Genomic DNA, 20,295 nt, shown 5'->3' on the forward strand with positions numbered 1-20,295 from the left:
CCACCACACCCGGACTTAAATTCTTATATATATATGTAGTGGGACCCATATCTGGTCCGTTGAGCTGACCCAATGCCAGTACATGACTGTTTCAATTACTGAGACTCCATGATAATATATAAAATTTTAAAGCATTTGTAATCCTCCTCCCATTACCTTCCGAATTCAAAAGTATTTGTTTATCTTTCTAGATGAACCTTTGGATCATTGTGCAAAGTTCTCCCCAACCAAGACCCAATTCTCTGATACATTTTTGGTAACATTTTAATTATAATTCCATAAAACTTATACATTAGTTTTAGAATATTTGGCAACTTTACAATATCAATCTTTCTATCTGAAAACATGACGTAGCTTTCTATTTCTCAAAACTCCAGCTCACACACATTAAGGTTATTGTTGTTTTCTTAGACTTAATTTCCTCATATATTTTCTTTCTTTTCTTCCTTCTTTCCTTCCTTTTCCCTTCCTTTGCCCTTCCCTTCCCTTCCCTTCCATTCCATTCCCTTCCTTCTTTTTTGAGACAGGTTTTCTTAGATTTAACTTATCTTCCTTCCCTCCCTCCCTCCCTCCCTCCCTCCCTCCCTCCCTTCCTTCCTTCTTTCCCTCTCTCTCTTTCTCTCTCTCTCTCTTTCTTTCTCTCTTTTTTGAGACAGGGTCTCACTCCCATCACCCAGGCTGGAGTGCAGTGGCATGCTCATAACTCACTACAACCTCAACTTCCGGGGTTTCAGGTGATCCTCCCACCTCAGCCTCCTGAGTAGCTGGGAGGTGTGCATCACCACGCCCAGCTAATATTTTGTTTTTTGTAGAGAAGGGGATTTGCCATGTTGTCCAGGCTGGTCCCAAACTCCTGGGCTCAACTGATCTGACTGCCTTGGCCTCCCAAAATGCTGGGATTACAGACATGAGCCACCATGTCCCACCTTCTTGTGTATTTTCTAATTAATAAAGTTAGTTTACTTAGGTTAATATGTTAGGTTAATAAAACATAAATATGTTAATATATAAGTAAATAACATATATATATAGCATACATAAAAATATGTTAATATATAAATAAAACATAACATGTTAGGTTAATAAAACATAAAACTTAGGTTAATTTGTTAGGTTAATAAAACATGACGGCCGAGGCGGGCAGATCACAAGGTCAAGAGATCAGGACCATCCTGGCCAACATGGTGAAACCCCGTCTCTACTAAAAATACAAAAATTAGCTGGGCATGGTGGTGCGTGGCTGTAGTCCCAGCTACTCAGGAGGCTGAGGCAGGAGAATATCTTAAACCTGGGAGGCGGAGGTTGCAGTGAGCTGAGATTGTGCCATTGGACTCCAGCTCTGGGTGACAGACAGAGACTCCATCTCAAAAACAACAACAAAACCAAACAAAACAAAAAATAAAAATAAAAATGAATGACTTTGTGTCTGTTTACAGAATCCTTTAATAAAATCAAACAGTCTCTCAGGTTTTTAGAGGGGATTTCTAGGTATGGCTACCATATCAGTTGCAAATAATATATTTTCTCTTTCCCCATGCATATATTTTTATTGCTTTATGCTACACTCCAAATCTCATGTTGGAATTTGGTCCCCAATGTCAGAGGTGGGGCTTAGTGAAAGATGCTTAGGTCATGGGGGTAGACTCCTTATGAATGGCTTGTTGCAATCCTCATAGGAATGAGTGAGTTCTTACTCTCTTAGTTTCCACAAGAGCTCCTTGTTGAAAAGAGCCTGGCACCTGCTTCCCCTCCCCGTTGCTTCTCCTTGCACCATGTGGTCTCTGTACACATGTTTCCCTTCTGCCATGAGTGGAAGCAGCCTGAAGCCCCCACCAGAAATAAACACTGGCACCACACTTCTTGTGCAGCCAGCAGAACTGTGAGCCAAATAAACCTCTTTTCTTTATAAATTGCCCAGCCTTAAGTATTCCTCTACAGCAACATAAATAGGCAAAGACACTTTATATCTGAAATTAGCTCAAGTTTCCAAATTAATGATATACAATAACAGAGATAGTGAAAATCTTAGTTTAGATCCTGCTTAAAAAAATATCTATTTAGATAAAAAACATTGAAGCAGATGATTTTAGAGTTAGGGATATTTAGTTCATGAAAGTTGAGTATAAGTAACTTACTTGCTAATATTTTTGGAAGGATGATATTTGCTTTACTTTTTGATGCCTGTGCTCTTTTTAGTGCTTGCTGGATTTGCCAATGTTTTGGAGACATTTGCAGCAGAAAAAAACCATATTTCATATACTCCCTGAGGAGGAATTCTGTTTTTGCTATTTCACTACTCAAAAGAAACAAAGATATGATTAGGTATATCAGTGTGAAAGCACATTCATTAGAAAAAAATTTTTATAAAATTGTTTCTCTTATGTACTGAATTAATAATTTAATTATCAAAAAGGATAAATATGGCCATAAAAATATGGGCTTCAGTGAATATGAAATGAGATGAAGGAAAACTCTAGGAATGCTGTTTAAATAAAACATGTCCAAGGATATGCACACATAGAATAGACATGATAGTTTTACTCGACTTGTTTATTATTCTGTAGGAAACACTGTATTAAGTTTTAGATATAGGGAGAAATTAGAAGGTAGCAAAAGGGCCGGGTGCAGTGGCTCACACGTGTAATCCCAGCACTTTGGGAGGCCAAGGCAGGCAGATCACCTGAGGTCAGGAGTTCAAGACCAGCCTGGCCAACATGGAGAAAACCCGTCTTTACTAAAAATAGAAAAAACTAGCCAGGTATGGTGGTGGGCGCCTGTAATCCCAGCTACTTGGGAGGCTGAGGCAGGAGAATCGCTTGAACCCGGATGGCAGAGGTTGCAGTGGGCCGAGATCGTGCCATTGCACTCTAGCCTGGGCAACAAGAGCAAAACTCTGTCTCGAAAAAAAAAAAAAAAAAAAAAAGCCGGGCATGGTGGCTCACCCCTGTAATCCCAGGACTTTGGGAGGCCAAGGAGGGCAGATCATGAGGTCAAGGGTTCAAGACCAGCTTGGCCAACATGGTGAAACCCTGTCTCTACTAAGAATACAAAAATTAGCCAGGCGTGGTGGCGCATGCCTGTAATCCCAGCTACTCAAGAGGCTGAGGCAGGAGAATCACTTGAACCTGGGAGGTAGAGGTTGCAGTGAGCTGAGATCACGTCACTGCACTCCAGCCTGGGCGACAGAACAAGACTCTGTCTCAAAAAAAAAAAAAAAAAAAAGAAAGTAGCAAAAGATGGTACATTTGTAAGGAAAAGAAAGAAACTAACACTTAATGAGGACCTATTACTACAGGCAGGACACACTACAGACATAGGCTGATCCTCAGGACAGCACTTTAAAATAGGTACTATTATTCTTATCTTGGAAAGGAGATGTAAATGGTAGAGCCAGCACTCAAACCTAGGTCCATCTGACTCAGATGCCCAAGCTCTTGCCAATATTGAGTGACTTGGACCAAAAGCTTTTGCCCAGCTTCACATTGCGTTATAGTAATTACATTACAAAGTGGACAAAGAGGGATGTTAAAATAACAAAAGAAGGCCCACTTGAAAGGGAGCTTCCAAACCTTTATCTGAAAGATATCAATATTACTTTGTATCAATGTTTTCAGCTTTAATACTTCTATCTGTCAGAGCCTTCCTTCAGCCCTGGTGCAAGAGTGATATTCAAGGGTCAGTAAATGGCTGCTTCACGTATCACCAGTTGGAAGATTGATGGGAGACCTTCATTCTACTGCTGCCTCCGTTTTAGATTGAAATCCTCCCAGATATGCTACAAAGAACACGAGGTGACAATTGGCTGGAAAGATACAGTTTCCAAGCAAAAGCTTCAGAAGATGCCCCCTTCCCTTTCCAGCCCTACCCGTAGAGGAGGCCTCCTGGGGCCATCTCGAGCCATAAAGAGAGAAGAGCACCTGCTGCCCTTGCTCCACTACAGGCTTGTTTTTCATGATCTCCTGCACCTTTCTAGATGATGTGATACATCAACGATCAAGTTATCTTCAGCAAGACCATTTGGAGGGCTCAACTCGGCGGCTATTGTGCATAAATGCAATACTTTGCACAAAAATAGAGGCTGCTACTCTAGCTCTAGAAATAATCTATAAATGGATAGAAACTTCTAATTGCATCGGGGGTGAAAGAGAGAAGGAAATTCTCCATCTTGGAGCAGCTTCAGCTTTAGGCTCCTAAAATAGAAGAGCCTGCTGTAGCCAGAATATGAAATGCACATTCTGTTAGTGCAGTTGGTTTCAGAGAAACCAACTCTGCTTTATTTCAGACTCGCTTGTCTGAAGGATGTAAGAAGCCTAGGACCTAGTTCTAGAGGGGAGGTAAGCATCAAGTTCTCAAAAAGGAAAAGTAAGTTTTAGCATTGACCTGATACCAACACTACAGTGTATTCTGAATCATGAAATTACTGTCCAAAAATGATGACAGAAGGAAGCTTCTTTAGCTACTTAAAATTAGTTAGGCCGGGCGCGGTGACTCACGCCTGTAATCCCAGCACTTTGGGAGGCTGAGGTGGGTGGATTGTCTGAGGTCAGGAGTTTGAGACTAGCTTGGCTAACGTGGTGAAACCCCATTTCTACCAAAAATACAAAAAATGAGCCAAGCGTGGAGGTGGGCACCTGTAATCCCAGCTACTCAAGTGGCTGAGGCAGGAGAATCGCTTGAACCTAGGAGGTGGAGGTTTCAGTGAGCCGAGATCATGCCATTGCACTCCAGCTTGGGCAACAAAAGTGAAACTCCCTCTCAAAAAAAAAAAAAAAAAAAAAAATTAGTTCAAGTGAGTTTCCTTGACCATAGAAGGAAACATCCAAGTTTGAAAAAGAGTGGCAGATGGTACAATTTTATCCCAACTCCTGCTCCAATGCTTTTTTCTCTTTATAGATCTTAGTTTTTTATTTTTATTTATTTTTACTAAAGATGGGGTCCCACTGTGTTGCTAAGACTTCACTTGAACTCCTGGGCTCAAGCGATCCTCCCGCCTCAGCTTCCAAAGGAGCTGAGAGGCAAGCAGTGTGCCCAGCAGATCTTAGTTTTTAATAGCAATACTAGTTTCCACTATGTAAGCGTAAATATAAAAAATACTGCCCATGATGACTGTAAGATGATCGTAGAATGAGTCCCAATTTCAGAGATGTTAAAATGTGGGGGAAAAAATGTCTCAGAATGAATGCAAAAGTGCAACCAGACTAAACTAAAAATATAAAAAGAAAAAAATGAATGAATGAGGAAGGGCACTTAGATAATAATTTATTGTTTATTCCTAATTGTTTTGCTTCATCTAACTTCTTTGCTTCTGTATCTACAAGTTAGAGAGACTTTCCAACCGGAAGCCACATACTGTCCTGATACCCAGGCAGGAACAAATCTTGATGGACAGGTTACTTATTTTTTAAAATTCGTTCATACTTATGACATCATCAACTGATAAGGATGATCAGGATTATTAGGTCTTACCTGGCATGAATAGGTTTTAATGGGTCGTGGAAATTTGGCCACGAGAAGATTGTGCCCACCCTCACCTTTTCACTGCTTGTACCTCCATGCTTGCTTTCTTCAGCTCTGCTGTCATTTGGAGTTTGTTTATTGTTTCCTGTGCTGCCCTGAAAAGCAATGAAGATCTGTTAATTTGCTTCTTAGAAACAAACAAACAAACAAACAAACAAAAGAGGTGGGAAGGATTTGGCCAGAGTGATGAAACAAACATTTTCAGAGCGTCTACAGATCTCTGGTCATTTTCTCGAAGGAACTCTTCAAAGGCCAGTGCATCATCTTGGAGCTTTTTCTCTGCTTTTTTTAGTTGCCGTTCCCTCATTGCTATGTCTTTTTCAAACTTTTTGATTGTGTTTCTTTTGGTTGACAAAGCATACTAGGGGCATTGAAGACAGAGGTGTAAAAACATGATTCCACATTTTTAGTAATTTCAACAGTCTTATACACAGCAAGTGAACATTTGTATTAGAAATAATAGTACGCCTAAATCTTGGAGCAATGGACTTTATTTCTTGAAGGAGTTTTATTTTCAGGGATAATTAGAGGGGAGACTAATTTCCCTCCCTTACTTCTATGAAGAGGGTCAGTGTTGTTCCAAAAGGGCTCTGCCCTACAAATAAAAAATAGCTGCATATTCCTCCAAAGAGCAGGTGCATCTGGTATTACCTACAGTGTATTACCCTCCAGTACTTTCTGGGAATTGGGAAACTGGGTTGTCTGCAGTCACAAAAGCTACCAGCTTCTCCTCCAATAGGAAGACCATGGGAGAAAGCAGTTTCAACTCTGCCATGCCAGTGATGCATTCCTGGGAGCCAGCCCAAGGGTACCACATCTAACTGTAATCAAAGAGGCCTGTTTAGATCCCCAAACACAACTTTGACATCTGCCTTCTAGTTCCTTCTATTTTTTTAGTACAGAATATAAAAGTCCATGTGGTGATTTTTGTTTTGTTTTGTTTTTGAGACAAGGTCTTGCTCTGTCACCCAGGCTGGAGTGCAGTGGGGTGATCTTGGCTCACTGCAGCTTTGACCACCCAGGCTCAAGCAATCTTCCCACCTCAGCCACTCAAGTAGCTGGGACTATATAGGTGCACACCACCATGCCCAGCTCATTTTTGTATTTTTAGTAGAGATGGTTTTTGCCATGTCAGCCAGGCTGGTCTCAAACTCCTGAGCTCAAGCAATCCACCTGCCTTGGCCTCCCAAAGTGCTGGGATTACAGGCGTGAGCCACCACACCCAGACCTATTTGGGTTTTTAATACCATGCAGGAAAAAATTAAATCATAAATAAGGCCACATACATAATATAAATGAATTGAAAATATGGAAATGAGATGATTTTAAAGAGATAACAACCAATAATTAGACCCTCCAAGTTTATAGCAAAAAATGCTTCATTCATTACTTTATTCCGCAAGTACTTACTGAGTGCCTACTGTGTGCCAGGACTGTTTTAAGGGGTGTAAATAGAGTGATGAACCAAAGAAACATAAATGCTTGTATGGAGTGTCCATTCTAGAAGAGGAAGGAAGCTGATGAAAGCGGGATGGGGTGCTGTGGACAAGGGCAGGGGGTTGCTATCATGTATAGAACAGCCAAGGAAAGTCTCCCTGATGTGGTGAGAATTAAACAGAGACTGGAAGGAAGTAGGAAACCAATCATGAGGATTTCTGAGGGAGGAATGTTCCTCCTATTAGGTTGGTGAAAAAGTAATTGTGGTTTTTGCCATTGAAATAGCAAAAACCACAGTTGTTTTTGCACCAGCCTAATATAAGGAAGAGCCTCCAGTGCATCAGCCTGGAGACAAGAGAGTGATTGGTGTGTCCCAGGAACAGCAAAGAGACCACCAAGGCTGGAGCAGAGTGAGCAAGAGAAAGGGTTTGAATCATAATCCCTAATACACAATACTGAATGCCATAATCCCAAATGTCAAAATCCCGAAAGATCAAAATTCTAAAATCCCTAATGTCTAAAATCCTGAAAATCAAAATCACAGGATAGTGGCATCATGTTAGACAAAACTATTACCTTGTTATCGTCTTTATTCAGACGAAAACGGATTTCAGTTGAGTCTCCAAACAATATGTTGACATAATGACAGATTTGGAATTAGGGGTGATCAAAGACTTCTAAAAAAATTTCAACGTGTTATTGATAAAGTTTATTTGATGACTGCAGTTGTAAAGCTGGGTGCACAAATTACCAACCATAGCAATATTCATTTATACATTTTGCTTTTGGATCTATTTCTTTCTGCATATAGTTAGTCTGCTCATAATGGTTACACCTGTGCAATTGTCATTAGAATGCCTGAGTATTTGTACTGGCAAAAATACATATGTTGCTGTTATTGCCTACTTCATTGTGCAAAGTGGCTTAACAGGTGGTCTGTCATGTTGTTATATGTTCTCAAAAAAATCCCCCTTTAAAAATGTAAATAAATAAATAAATATCTTTTAAAAATGTTTTAAGTTTACATTTTCCAGAACTATATTTTTGAGATTTTGATCTTTCAGGATTTCAGTGTTTGGGATTATGGCATTTTGGATCGTTGTCTTTTGGGACAAGAGAAAGAGTGATAGGAGTGAGGTCAGAGAGTAAGCTGGGGACCAGATCAAGTCGCTAGAGGCCTTTGGCAGAGGAAGGGCATGATCCTATCACTGTATGGAGAACAGACAGACTGCAGGGGAGCAACAGTAGAAGCAGGAGACCCAGGTTTAGAAGTTATAACCCTAATACATGCTAGAGATGTTGGTGGCTTGGACTGCAGTAGTAGCTGTGGAGGTCATGAACAGTAGTCTGATTATGGATATATTTTGAAAAAGAATATTTTTGAAGATCTGTTTGGATGTGGATTGTAAAAAGGAGTCAAGGATAACCCCAATATTTTTGGTCTAAGCAAGTGGAAAAATGGAATTGCTATTTAGTGAGCCAGGGACTATGGTATGAGATACAGACTTGCAGGGGTAGGAAAGAGTATATTAGGGGCGGAGTTTAGGAAACATGAAGTCTGAAATGGTTATTGAACATCTCGATGGGAAATGTTAAGAATTACAGTTGCATCTGTGAGCCTGGAGTTCAGGGAAGAAGATCAAGCTAGAGAAATAAATTTGGAAGTTGTTAATATGGAGGTGGAATTCGAAGACATGAGCCTGAAGGAGGGTAGACAGAGCAAAGGGTAAGGAATGGGCCCTGGACATTCCAACACTTGAAGATCAGGGAGAAGAGGAGAACAAGCACATAAAACTGAGAAGCAGCAGCAGTTAGCAAGGTGGAAGAGTCGAGAGAGTGGCTCCCAGAAACCCACAGAAGATAGTATTTCAAAAAAGGTGTGAATAGACCAATTGCTGCTGAAAGGCCAAGTGTTAAATAAAAGGAATACTGTGACAATTTGATTTAGCAACAGAGAAGTCTCTGGTAACTTTGACAAAAGTCGTTTTGGTGAATGATAAGGACAAAACCCTGATGGAAGTGGATTTAGCAGAGAATAGGGAGAGAAGAAGTGGAGGCAGGAAATAAGTATAATGCTTTTGAAAAATTTTGCTATAAAGGAGAGCAGAAAATTGGGGCAGAAGATGGTATGTAATGTGATATCTAAAGAGGGTCCCAACTCTGCTATAAATAAAAAAATAAAGATGCCATGAAACCACTTCAGTTTTTGAAAACTATTACAAGTTACCCAGAGTTAGCCAAACTGATATCTAAAGAGGGTTTTTGGGGTGGGGTTGTTTTAAAAGATGGGGTAAATAATAGGATGTTTGTATGTTGGTGGCAATAATCCAGCAGAGAGGGAAAAATAATAATTAGAAAAGATCAGTAATTGTAGAATCATTTTCATAATTTTTTTCTAGTTTAATTGAGGTATAACTATCCAATAAACTCCACATTTTTAAAGTATACAATCTGTTAAGTTTTGACATATGTATATACTTGGGAAATCATCACCACAATCAAAACAATGAACATATTCATCACCTCAAAAAGTCTACTCAAGCCCTTTGTAATCCATCCCTTCTTCCCTCCTCCCCACCTCCTTTCCCAGGCAATTACTGACCTGTCTTCTGTCACTATAGACGAACTTGCATTTTCTAGAATTTTATCTAGTGAAATTATAGTATGAACTATTTTTCTGTCTGGATTTATAAACTTAGTACAACTATTTTAAGAGTCATCCATGTTGGTAGAATATCCATAACTAATTCCTTTTTATTGCTGAGTAGTAATCAGTTATGTTGATATACCCCAGTTTGGTTACCCATTTACCTGTTCATGGACATTTTGCTTGTTTCCTACATTGGGCTACTTCAAATAAGGTTGCTATGAGCACATATGCTTTTATTTTTCTTGGATAAATTCCCAGGAGTGGAATGGCTATAAATAAGAAACTGTTCTTTATTTCTGACCCAGGAGTCTGGTGTCTTCTATTGAAACTATGAAACTGCAGCAGACTAACTTCTTAGCTTGCAAGTAGGATAGCATTTTAGATCCTTCATAGCTCTTGAAACTAGGTCCTTTGCATTTCCATAAAAAATTTAGAATCAGCCTTTCAATTTCTACAAGAAAGACGCCTGGGATTTGTACTGAGATTGCATTTATAGATTAAATAAATTATTTAATCTATAAACCAATCTGGAAAGATTTGGCATCTCAGCAATATTGAGTCTTTGGATCAATGAACATGGTATCACTCTCCATTTATTTAGGTCTTTAATTTTTCTCTGCAATGTCTTGTAGTTTTCAGTGTACATCTATTGTACATATTTTACAAACATATCTAGAATTATTTCATATTTTGATGCTGTTGGACATGGCATTGCTTTTTAAATTTTAGTTTCTTAATTCTTCATTACAAGTTTATAAAAATACAATTGATTTCTGTAAATTGACCTTGCTACAACCTTGCTAAACTCATAGGTTATGGTAGTTTTAAAATAGATTTCTTCAGATTTTCTGCAGAGAGGATCGTGTTGTCTGTAAATAAAGACAGCTTTAATTCTTCATTTCCAATCTAAATGTCTTTCATTTTTTTTTCTTGTCTTATTGCACTAGCTAGGACCTCCAGAACACTGACAAAAAGAAGTGGTGCAGTGGAAATCCTTGCCTTGTTCCTAATCTTAGGGGGAAAGCATTCAGTCTTTTACCATTAGATATGTAATGTTAGTGATAAGTTTCTAGTAGATGTCCTTTTATAAAGTTGAGGAACTTCTCTTCTGTTCCTACTTTGCTGAGAGTCTCCATCAAGAATGAATTTTGGATATTGTTGAGTGGTTTTTCTGCATCAATTGGGATAATCATATGGGTTTTCATTTTTAATTTGTTAATGTGTATTACATTGATTTATTTTTAAATGTTAAATTACTTTTGTATTCTTAGATTAAACCCTAATTTGTCATAATGTATTATCTTTTTAGTATTATTGGATTTGGTTTGTTACATTTTGTTCAGAATGTTTGCATATTTGCTTACGAGAGATCTTGGTCTTTAGCTTTCTTGTCTTCTAATCATTTTATCTAGTTTTGATATGAGGGTAATGCTGGCTTCACAGCATGAGTTGTGAGGTATTCCCTCTTCTTACTCATTTTTTTGGAACAGTGTGTATAAAATTAAATTTATTTCTTCTTTAAATATTTGGCAGAATTAACCAATAAATCTGGGTTTTTCTTTGTGAGAAGTTTTTTACCTGTAAGTTCAATTTCTTTAAGAGACATAAAGCTACCATTTATTTCTTTCTTCTTGGGTAGGCTTTGGTAGTTTGCATCTTTCAAGGAATCTATTTCATCTAAGTTGTCAAATTTATTGGCATAAAGTGTTTATAATATTAAATTCATAATATGTCAATGTTAATAATTTTTAAATGGGTATTTCATGTCCCAACTCTGCTATAAATAAAAAAATAAAGATGCCATGAAGCCACTTCAGTTTTTGAAAACTATTACAAGTTACCCAGAGTTAGCCAAATTGAAAATTTCATATCATAGTCCCCAAGACTGCTCTCACTTCTGACACTGACCGCAAGTTTGAGGGGTTCCCCCAAATACCGTCAGTTTTGATAATTTTCTGGAAGGACTCACAAACTCACTGAAAGCTATTATACTCATGGGTATAGTTTATTAAAAGGAAAGAATATGCATTGAAATCATCCAAAGGAAGAGACCCATAAGGCAGAGCCTGAGTAAGTTCTAAATGCAAAGCTTCCAGTGTTCCCTCCCCATGGAACTAGGAGGTGTTATCCTCCCTGCATCTACATGTGACAACGCACAGAGAATATTGTCAACAAGGGAAGCAGAAATGAGCTTCAGTGTCTAGAGTTTTCACTGGGGCTTCATTAACTAGGCATGATTAATTGATTGACCATGTGGTTGATCTGTCTCCAGTCTCCAGACCCTCTGAGTGTGACCCAAAGCCCCACCTCTAAGTCCCATTGTTAATATTTCTGGGATGGGCAGCCTCCACCCTAAGACTGTCAGATGTGACCAGTTCTATATTAAAGAAAGACAGCCTGATTAAGTATGATATAGATTACCACCCGGAAGTCAAGAGCAAAGGCCAGACTCTTTCTGGACAAGGCCAGATTTTTTACTACAAATAGTTGTTCCTTGGCATCAACAGGAGATTGGCTCCAGGATCCCCAAGGACACCAAACTTTGTGGATGCTCAAGTCGCTTATGTAAAATGGAATAGTATTTGCATATAACCATGTACATTCTCCCATATACTTTAAATAATCTGTAGATTAATTATAGTACCTAATACCAATGTAAATGCTATATATAAATAGTTGTTATACTTTATAATTTTTCAAAATTTGTATTATTTTGTTGTTATTTTTTATCATTTTTTCTGAATATTTTTGATCTGCAGTTTGTTAAATTCTCAGATGCTGAACCTGTGGATACAGAGGGTAGACTGTACAAGTCTTTTTGATAAGTGGACACTTCACCAAACTGGTTGAGGGAGGGAGGGATATAGTAAAGAAAGGAAATGAGGTATATTTAATATAAATGTCCTGAAATCCTAGTGTATCTGTCAAGCACCACCTTAAACTACCTAGGACATCAGTTATGTCAGTAGGACTTTATAATAAAGATCAAACTCACACCCAGGAAATGCTTTTTAACAAACAAAGCCATCAGGTTCTATTTATAACTTTATCAGTTACTTTAAGTGAGATATTTTATGTTGATTGCAGCTGGCAGCGTATGGAAGTACTAACTAACTAAATTTATGCCCCAAAATGTGTGATGTGAAATTAGGAAAAGTCAAGTACATTGTTATTTACTCATTAGCATCAAAGAGTTTAATTGAGACACATCAACATCTTTAGATTATTAGATACTTGACAATAAAGGTATAAAAATGTTCAATTCATTCATTTTGTAATTATTTTCCCATTAAGTGCTTGGCATCTCTGCTTTATCTATGGCAAATGAATATGCATATAGACATAGCAAATAATCATGTTTTCAGTTATATGCCTGGCATCTAGCTAAAGTTTTTGATGGCAGGAAAAAAAGCCTCTATTATTTTTTATAAAAGACTCCATAAGGGACCTGGCACACTGTTCTGACATGAATAGGTATCAAGGAAGCTGGAGGGATTCTAGAATTGTCTGAATTTCCAGAGTGCTTGGATTCCCACCATCTTCAGCCAAAGCATCAGGAGAAGCTGCATTAAATAGGGCATCTCAGGCACTATCCTGGTCATAGAAGAGATAATTGGAGAAAAAGGGACAAACTAGAACCAGACATTTTCTAGAATAATTTTTCTGATAGGTTCCAGGAAGTATAAAACCTTGTCTGGGATATTAGAATGTAAATCCTTTGAGAGGCAGGTCTTTGCTTTGTTTACTGCTTGGCACATAGTAAACTCTCCGTAAGTATTTTTCAAATTAATGAACACGTGAAAAAACCAACCTGTTCAACCAATAGATTTGGGACATGTAATAGACAAGCAAAATGTCAAGGTAAATATTTGAAAACACTATGAAAGAAGTCTTCCACTTGGCTAGGGGAGAAAAGTTATTTTTACTACCTCGAGCAGAAACCTGTCTCTCTGGTCATTAATAAATTCATGGACAGTCCTTTTTGTGTCGGAACCTGTGAAGAAAGTTGAAATAGACTTAAGTTTAGTTCATCATCCTTAAAAATGCTGTATAAAATAAAAGCCATATAATTAAATTATTCTACAGTATGTATCTGATCTTTTAAAAATACTATATCTTGAAATAAACCTTTTCCTAGCCACTCAAACTAATTTAGTAATAGTAATTACAATTTATTTTATGTCTATCATATTCCAGAAACCTCATTAGCCACTTTAAGCACATCATTTAATCCTAACAACAACCTGAATAAGGTACTTACTACTATCCCCATCCTGTCTATGAGGTCCTGAAGTGTAGAGCTGTCAAAATTCTTTTTTTTTTTTTTCCAATCAAGATTTCTTTTTATTTATTTATTTATTTATTTATTTATTTGTTTGTTTTTTATTGATCATTCTTGGGTGTTTCTCGCAGAGGGGGATTTGGCAGGGTCACAGGACAATAGTGGAGGGAAGGTCAGCAGATAAACAAGTGAACAAAGGTCTCTGGTTTTCCTAGGCAGAGGACCCTGCGGCCTTCCGCAGCGTTTGTGTCCCTGGGTACTTGAGATTAGGGAGTGGTGATGACTCTTAACGAGCATGCTGCCTTCAAGCGTCTGTTTAACAAAGCACATCTTGCACCGTCCTTAATCCATTTAACCCTGAGTGGACACAGCACATGTTTCAGAGAGCACAGGGTTGGGGGTAAGGTCACAGATCAACAGGATCCCAAGGCAGAAGAATTTTTCTTAGTACAGAACAAAATGAAAAGTCTCCCATGTCTACCTCTTTCTACACAGACACGGCAACCATCCGATTTCTCAATCTTTTCCCCACCTTTCCCCCCTTTCTATTCCACAAAACTGCCATTGTCATCATGGCCCGTTCTCAATGAGCTGTTGGGTACACCTCCCAGACGGGGTGGTGGCCGGGCAGAGGGGCTCCTCACTTCCCAGTAGGGGCGGCCGGGCAGAGGCGCCCCTCACCTCCCGGACGGGGCGGCTGGCCGGGCAGGGGGCTGACCCCCCCACCTCCCTCCCGGATGGGGCGGCTGGCCGGGCAGAGGGGCTCCTCACTTCCCAGTAGGGGCGGCCGGGCAGAGGCGCCCCTCACCTCCCGGACGAGGCGGCTGGCCAGGCGGGGGACTGACACCCCCACCTCCCTCCCGGACGGGTGGCTGCCGGGCGGAGACGCTCCTCACTTCCCAGACGGGGTGGCTGCCGGGCAGAGGGGCTCCTCACTTCTCAGACGGGGCGGCTGCTGGGCGGAGGGGCTCCTCACTTCTCAGACAGGGCGGTTGCCAGGCAGAGGGTCTCCTCACTTCTCAGACGAGGTGGCCAGGCAGAGACGCTCCTCACATCCCGGACGGGGCGACAGGGCAGAGGCGCTCCCCACATCTCAGACGATGGGTGGCCGGGCAGAGACGCTCCTCACTTCCTAGATGGGATGGCGGCCGGGAAGAGGCGCTTCTCACTTCCTAGATGGGATGGCGGCTGGGCAGAGATGCTCCTCACTTTCCAGACTGGGCAGCCAGGCAGAGGGGCTCCTCACATCCCAGACGATGGGCGGCCAGGCAGAGACGCTCCTCACTTCCCAGACGGGGTGGCGGCCTTCCCAGATGGGGTGGCGGCTGGGCAGAGGCTGCAATCTCGGCACTTTGGGAGGCCAAGGCAGGCTGCCGGGAGGTGGATGTTGTAGGGAGCCGAGATCACGCCACTGCACTCCAGCCTGGGCACCATTGAGCACTGAGTGAAGGAGACTCCGTCTGCAATCCCGGCACCTCGGGAGGCCGAGGCTGGCGGATCACTCGCGGTTAGGAGCTGGAGACCAGCCCGGCCAACACAGCGAAACCCCGTCTCCACCCAAAAAATAGGAAAACCAGTCAGGCGTGGCGGCGCGCGCCTGCAATCGCAGGCACTCGGCAGGCTGAGGCAGGAGAATCAGGCAGGGAGGTTGCAGTGAGCTGAGATGGCAGCAGTACAGTCCAGCTTCAGAGGGAGACCGTGGAAAGAGGGAGAGGGAGAGGGAGAGGGAGAGGGAGAGGGAGAGGGAGAGGGAGAGGGAGAGGGAGAGGGAGAGGGAGAGGGAGAGGGAGAGGGAGAGGGAGAGGGAGAGGGAGAGGGAGAGGGAGAGGGAGAGGGAGAGGGAGAGGGAGAGGGAGAGGGAGAGGGAGAGGGAGAGGGAGAGGGAGAGGGAGAGGGAGGAGAGGGAGAGGGAGAGGGAGGAGAGGGAGAGGGAGAGGGAGAGGGGGCTGTCAAAATTCTTATCCAAGGTCACACAACTAACCTAAGCTTGTGCTGTACCAAGTAAGACTGAAGTATTTTAAATCTTAATGTTTGGCCAATCTACACATACCAAAGCTCTTAGGCAAAATCTTTTTTGGCTCATAAACCAAACTTCTGTCAGGAAAGGAAATGATGACAACTAGTTTTACCATCTAGCAATAGAAAATACCAAATGTTTCTTTTCAAGCTTTTTTCATTCTGGAAATTTATACATATGCTACATTTCAATAATGTTTGCTTCATAAAAACCAACAGAATGTGGCATAAAATAAAATCTCTTGATAAGAATGTAACTGTAGCTAGCAGAAGAAAAGAAATAACTAAAATCAGAGCAGAACTAAATGAAATTGAGACAAAAAAATAAAATCATACAAAGAATCAATGAAACAAAAAGTTGGTTCTTTGAAAGAAAAACAAGATTGACAGACCACTAGCTAGATTAACAAAGAAAAAAGAGAGAAGATCCAAATAAGCACACTCAGAAATGACAAAGGTAACATTATAGCCAATCCCACAGAAATACAAAAGATCCACAGAGACTATTATGAACACCTCTATGAAAACAAACTGGAAAATCTAGAGGAAATAGATAAATTCCTGGAAACACACAATCTCCCAAGATTGAATCAGGAAGAAATTGTAACCCTGAACAGACTAATAATGAGTTCTGAAATTGAATCAGTAATAAAAAACCTACCAAACCAAATAAAGCCCTGGACCAGATGGATTCACAGCCGACTCCTACCAGAGGTACAAAGAAAGGCTAGTACCAATCCTACTGAAGTTATTACAAAAAAATCTAAGAGAAGGGATTCCTCCCTAACTCATCCTATGAATTTGGTATCATCCTGATATCAAAATCTGGCAAAGACACAACAAAAAAGAAAACTACAGGCCACTATCCTTGATGAACATAGACATGAAAATCCTCAAAAAAACACTAGCAAACTGAATCCAACAACACATCAAAAAGCTAATTCACCACAATCAAGTGGGCTTTACTCCTAGAATACAAGGTTTGTTCAATATACACAAATCAATAAATGTGATTCACCACATAAACAGAATTAAACCCCAAAACCATAGGATCATCTTGATAGACCCAGAAAAAGCATTCAATAAAATCCAACATCCCCTTATGATAAATACACTCAACAAACTAGGCATCGAAGGAACATACCTCAAAATACTAACAGCCATCTATGACAAACTCACAGCCAACATCATACGGAACAGGTAAAAGTTAGAAGCATTTCCCCTAAGAACTGGAACAAGACAAGGATTTGCACTCTCAGCATTCCTAGTCAACATAATACTGGAAGTCTTAACCAGGGCAATCCAGCAAGAGAAAGAAACAAAAGCATCCAAATAGGAAAAGAGGAAGTCAAATTATCTGTCTTCACTGATGATATGGTTCGATACCTAAAAAACCCCAAAGACTCCACCAAAAGAGGCTTAGATCTGACAAACAACTTCAGCAAAGTTTCAGGATACAAAATCAATGTACAAAAATCAACAGCATTTGTATACATCAATAACATTTGAGCTGAGAGCCAAATCAAGAATGCAATCCCATTTACATTACACACACACACACACACACACACACACACAAAATACCTATGGATATTTGTAAACAAAGAGGTGTAAGAACTCTACAATGAGAATTACAAAACACTGCTGAAAGAATTCATAGATGACACAAACAAATTGAAAAACATTCCAGGCTCATGGATTGGAACAATCAATGTCATTAAAAATGTCCACACTTATGAAAGCAATTTACAGATTCAATGCTATTCCTATCAAACTACCAATGTCACTTTTCACAGAATTAGAAAAAAACTATTCTAGAATTCAGGCTGGGCATGGTGGCTCATGCCTGTAATCCCAAAACTTGGAAAGGCCAAGGTGGGAGGATTGCTTGAGGCCAGGAGTTCAAGACCAGACTGAGCAACACAGCAAGAAACCCATCTTTACAAAAAAATTAAAAAATTAGTTGAGCATGGTTGTGCGTGCCTATAGTCCTAGCCTCTCACAGGACTAAGCCAGGAGGATTGCTTGAGTTTAGAAGTTCAAGGTTACAGTGAGCTATGATCATGCTACTGCACTTCAGCCTGGGGGACAGAGTAAGACACTGTCTCTAAATGAATAAATAATTCATAAAAATAAAATAAAAATTACATGAAGCCAAAATAGAGCCCAAATAGCCAAAGCAATCCTACGCAAAAAGAACGAAGTTGGACTCATCATATTACCTGATTTCAAACTATACTACAAGGCTACCGTAACAAAAACAGCATGGTACTGGTACAAAAATAGACAGACCAATGGAACAAAATAGAAAACAGAGAAATAAAGCTGCACACATACAACCAACTGATTGTCAACAAAGATGACAAAAATAAAAAATGGGGAGAGGATCCCCTTTTCAATAAATGGTGCAGGGAAAACTGGCTAGCCATATGCAGAAGAATGAAACTAGATCCCTTCATCTTACCATATACAAAAATTAACTCAAGAGGGATTCAAGATTTAAATGTAAGACCTCCATCTATAAAAAGAAATCCCAAAAGAAAATCTGGGACATACTCTTCCAGACATTGGCCTAGGAAAAGTTCTCAAAACCAAATGCAACAAAAATAAAAATTGGCAATTCACACCTAATTTAACTAAAGAGCTTCTGCGCAGCAAAAAACACTATCAACAGACTAAACAGACAACCTATAGCATAGGAGAAAATATTTGCAAGCTATGTATATTCGCAACCTTTGTCAAAGACAAAGGCCTAATATCCAGAATCTACAAGAAACTTAAACAAATTAACAAGAAAAAAACACATTGAAAAGTAGGCAAAAGAAGGCATACAAGTGACATCCGATAAACTGGAAAGAATGCCCGACATTGCCAATCATCAGAGAAATGCAAATCAAAATCACAATGAGATGCCGTCTCACACCAGTCAGAATGGCTATTATTAAAAAGTCAAAAAATAACAGATGACTAGGTTGCAGAGAAAAATGGAATGCTTATACATTGTTGATGGGAATACACTGTTAATTCAGCCCCATGTGGAAAGCAGTTTGGAGGTTTTTCAAAGAACTAAAAATAGAACTATCATCCAACCCAGCAATCCCATTACTGGGTACCTACCTCCCCAAAAATAAATTGTTCTGTCAAAAAGACACATGCACTTGTATGTTCATCACAGCAATGTTAACCACAGCAAATACAGAGACTCAACCTAGATGCCCATCAACAGTGGACTGGCTAAAGAAAATGTGGTGCATGTATACCATGGAATACTATGCAGCCATAAAAAGAATAAAATAATGTCCTTTGCAGCAACATGGATAGAGCTGGAAGTCATTCTCCTAAGTGAATTAACACAGAAACAGAAAAGCAAATACTGCATGTTCTCACTTATAAGTGGGAGCTAAACATTGAGTACACATGGACAGAAAGATGGGAATAATAGACACTGAGGCCTCCTAAAGCAGGGAGGGAGGGAGAGGAGCAAGGGTTGAAAAACTTCCTATTGGGTACCATGTTCACTATTTTGGTGATGCAATCAATAGAAGCCCAAAGCTCAGCATCATTCAACATACCCTCATAACAAACCTGCACATGTATCCCCTGAATCTAAAATTTAAGAATTTAAATACTCATCCCTACGTGGAAGCTAAAAAAGTTGACCTCATAGAAGTAGAGAGTAGAATAGTGGTCACTAGAAGCAGGGAAGGATGGGGGTGGGGGGATAGGAAGAGGTTGGTTAACAGACACACAAGTACAGCTAGACAGCAGGAAAAAGTTTGAGTGTGCTGTAGCGCTGTAAGGTGACTATAGTTAGCAATAGTTTGTTACATATTTTCAAATAGCTAGAAGAATGGATTTTGAATGTTCCCAACACAAATAAATGATAAATGTTTGAGGTGATGAATATGCTCATTACTCCGATTTGATTATGGCACATTGTATACATGTATTGAAACATCACACCATACCCTATCAATATGTATGATTATTATGGGGTCAATTAAAAATAGTAATAAAAGCAGGGCCAGCAGCAGTGGCTCATGACTGTAATCCCAACACTTTGGGAGGCTGAGGTAGGTGGATCGCTTCAGCTCAGGAGTTTGAGACCAACCTGGACAACATGGCGAAGGCTTGTCTCTACAAAAATATACAAAAATTAGCCAGGCGTGGTCGTGTGTGCCTGTAGTCCCAGCTACTTGGGAGGGGAGGCTGAGGTGGGAGGATCCCTTGAGCCAGGAGGTCGAGGCTGTAGTGAGTCATGATCACACCAATGCATTCCAGCCTGGGTGACAAAGTGAGACCCTGTCTCAAAAGTTAATAATAAAAGCAAAAAAAATGCAAATAGAAATAGAAAGGAAACAATATTTCCAAGTAACCTGTGAGCCTGTGCTGC

General features: G+C 40.0%; 1 protein-coding gene across 5 annotated transcripts in view, besides 2 other annotated features; it reads right to left on the bottom strand.

Annotated features, from left to right (window-relative positions):
- CCDC38 (coiled-coil domain containing 38) overlaps positions 1 to 20,295 on the bottom strand; it is a 76,186-nt gene that overhangs the window by 25,806 nt on the left and 30,085 nt on the right. For 3 of the 5 annotated variants that reach the window (XM_011537883.3, NM_182496.3, XM_011537889.2), the window contains exons 5-8: positions 13,534 to 13,598; positions 5,715 to 5,878; positions 5,532 to 5,612; positions 2,136 to 2,293 (exon numbers count right to left, since the gene is read on the bottom strand). In XM_011537883.3, coding sequence (XP_011536185.1) covers positions 2,136 to 2,293; positions 5,532 to 5,612; positions 5,715 to 5,878; positions 13,534 to 13,598 — 468 coding nt within the window. Of the gene's footprint in view, positions 1 to 2,135; positions 2,294 to 3,569; positions 4,537 to 5,531; positions 5,613 to 5,714; positions 5,879 to 13,533; positions 13,599 to 20,295 lie in introns of those variants that run through there. The other 2 variants (XM_047428281.1, XM_011537888.4) reach the window with 2 other exon arrangements.
- Positions 14,914 to 15,424: an enhancer, noted in NCBI's record as "H3K27ac-H3K4me1 hESC enhancer chr12:96301545-96302055 (GRCh37/hg19 assembly coordinates)". NCBI's record gives its function as "activates a minimal SCP1, AML or CMV promoter by ChIP-STARR-seq in naive H9 embryonic stem cells {active_cell/tissue: H9 hESC(naive)}" and the evidence as "EXISTENCE:reporter gene assay evidence [ECO:0000049][PMID:30033119]".
- Positions 15,425 to 15,934: an enhancer, noted in NCBI's record as "H3K27ac-H3K4me1 hESC enhancer chr12:96302056-96302565 (GRCh37/hg19 assembly coordinates)". NCBI's record gives its function as "activates a minimal SCP1, AML or CMV promoter by ChIP-STARR-seq in naive H9 embryonic stem cells {active_cell/tissue: H9 hESC(naive)}" and the evidence as "EXISTENCE:reporter gene assay evidence [ECO:0000049][PMID:30033119]".

The sequence above is a fragment of the Homo sapiens genome, chromosome 12 (assembly GCF_000001405.40).
Source record: "Homo sapiens chromosome 12, GRCh38.p14 Primary Assembly".
Lineage (NCBI taxonomy): Eukaryota > Metazoa > Chordata > Mammalia > Primates > Hominidae > Homo > Homo sapiens.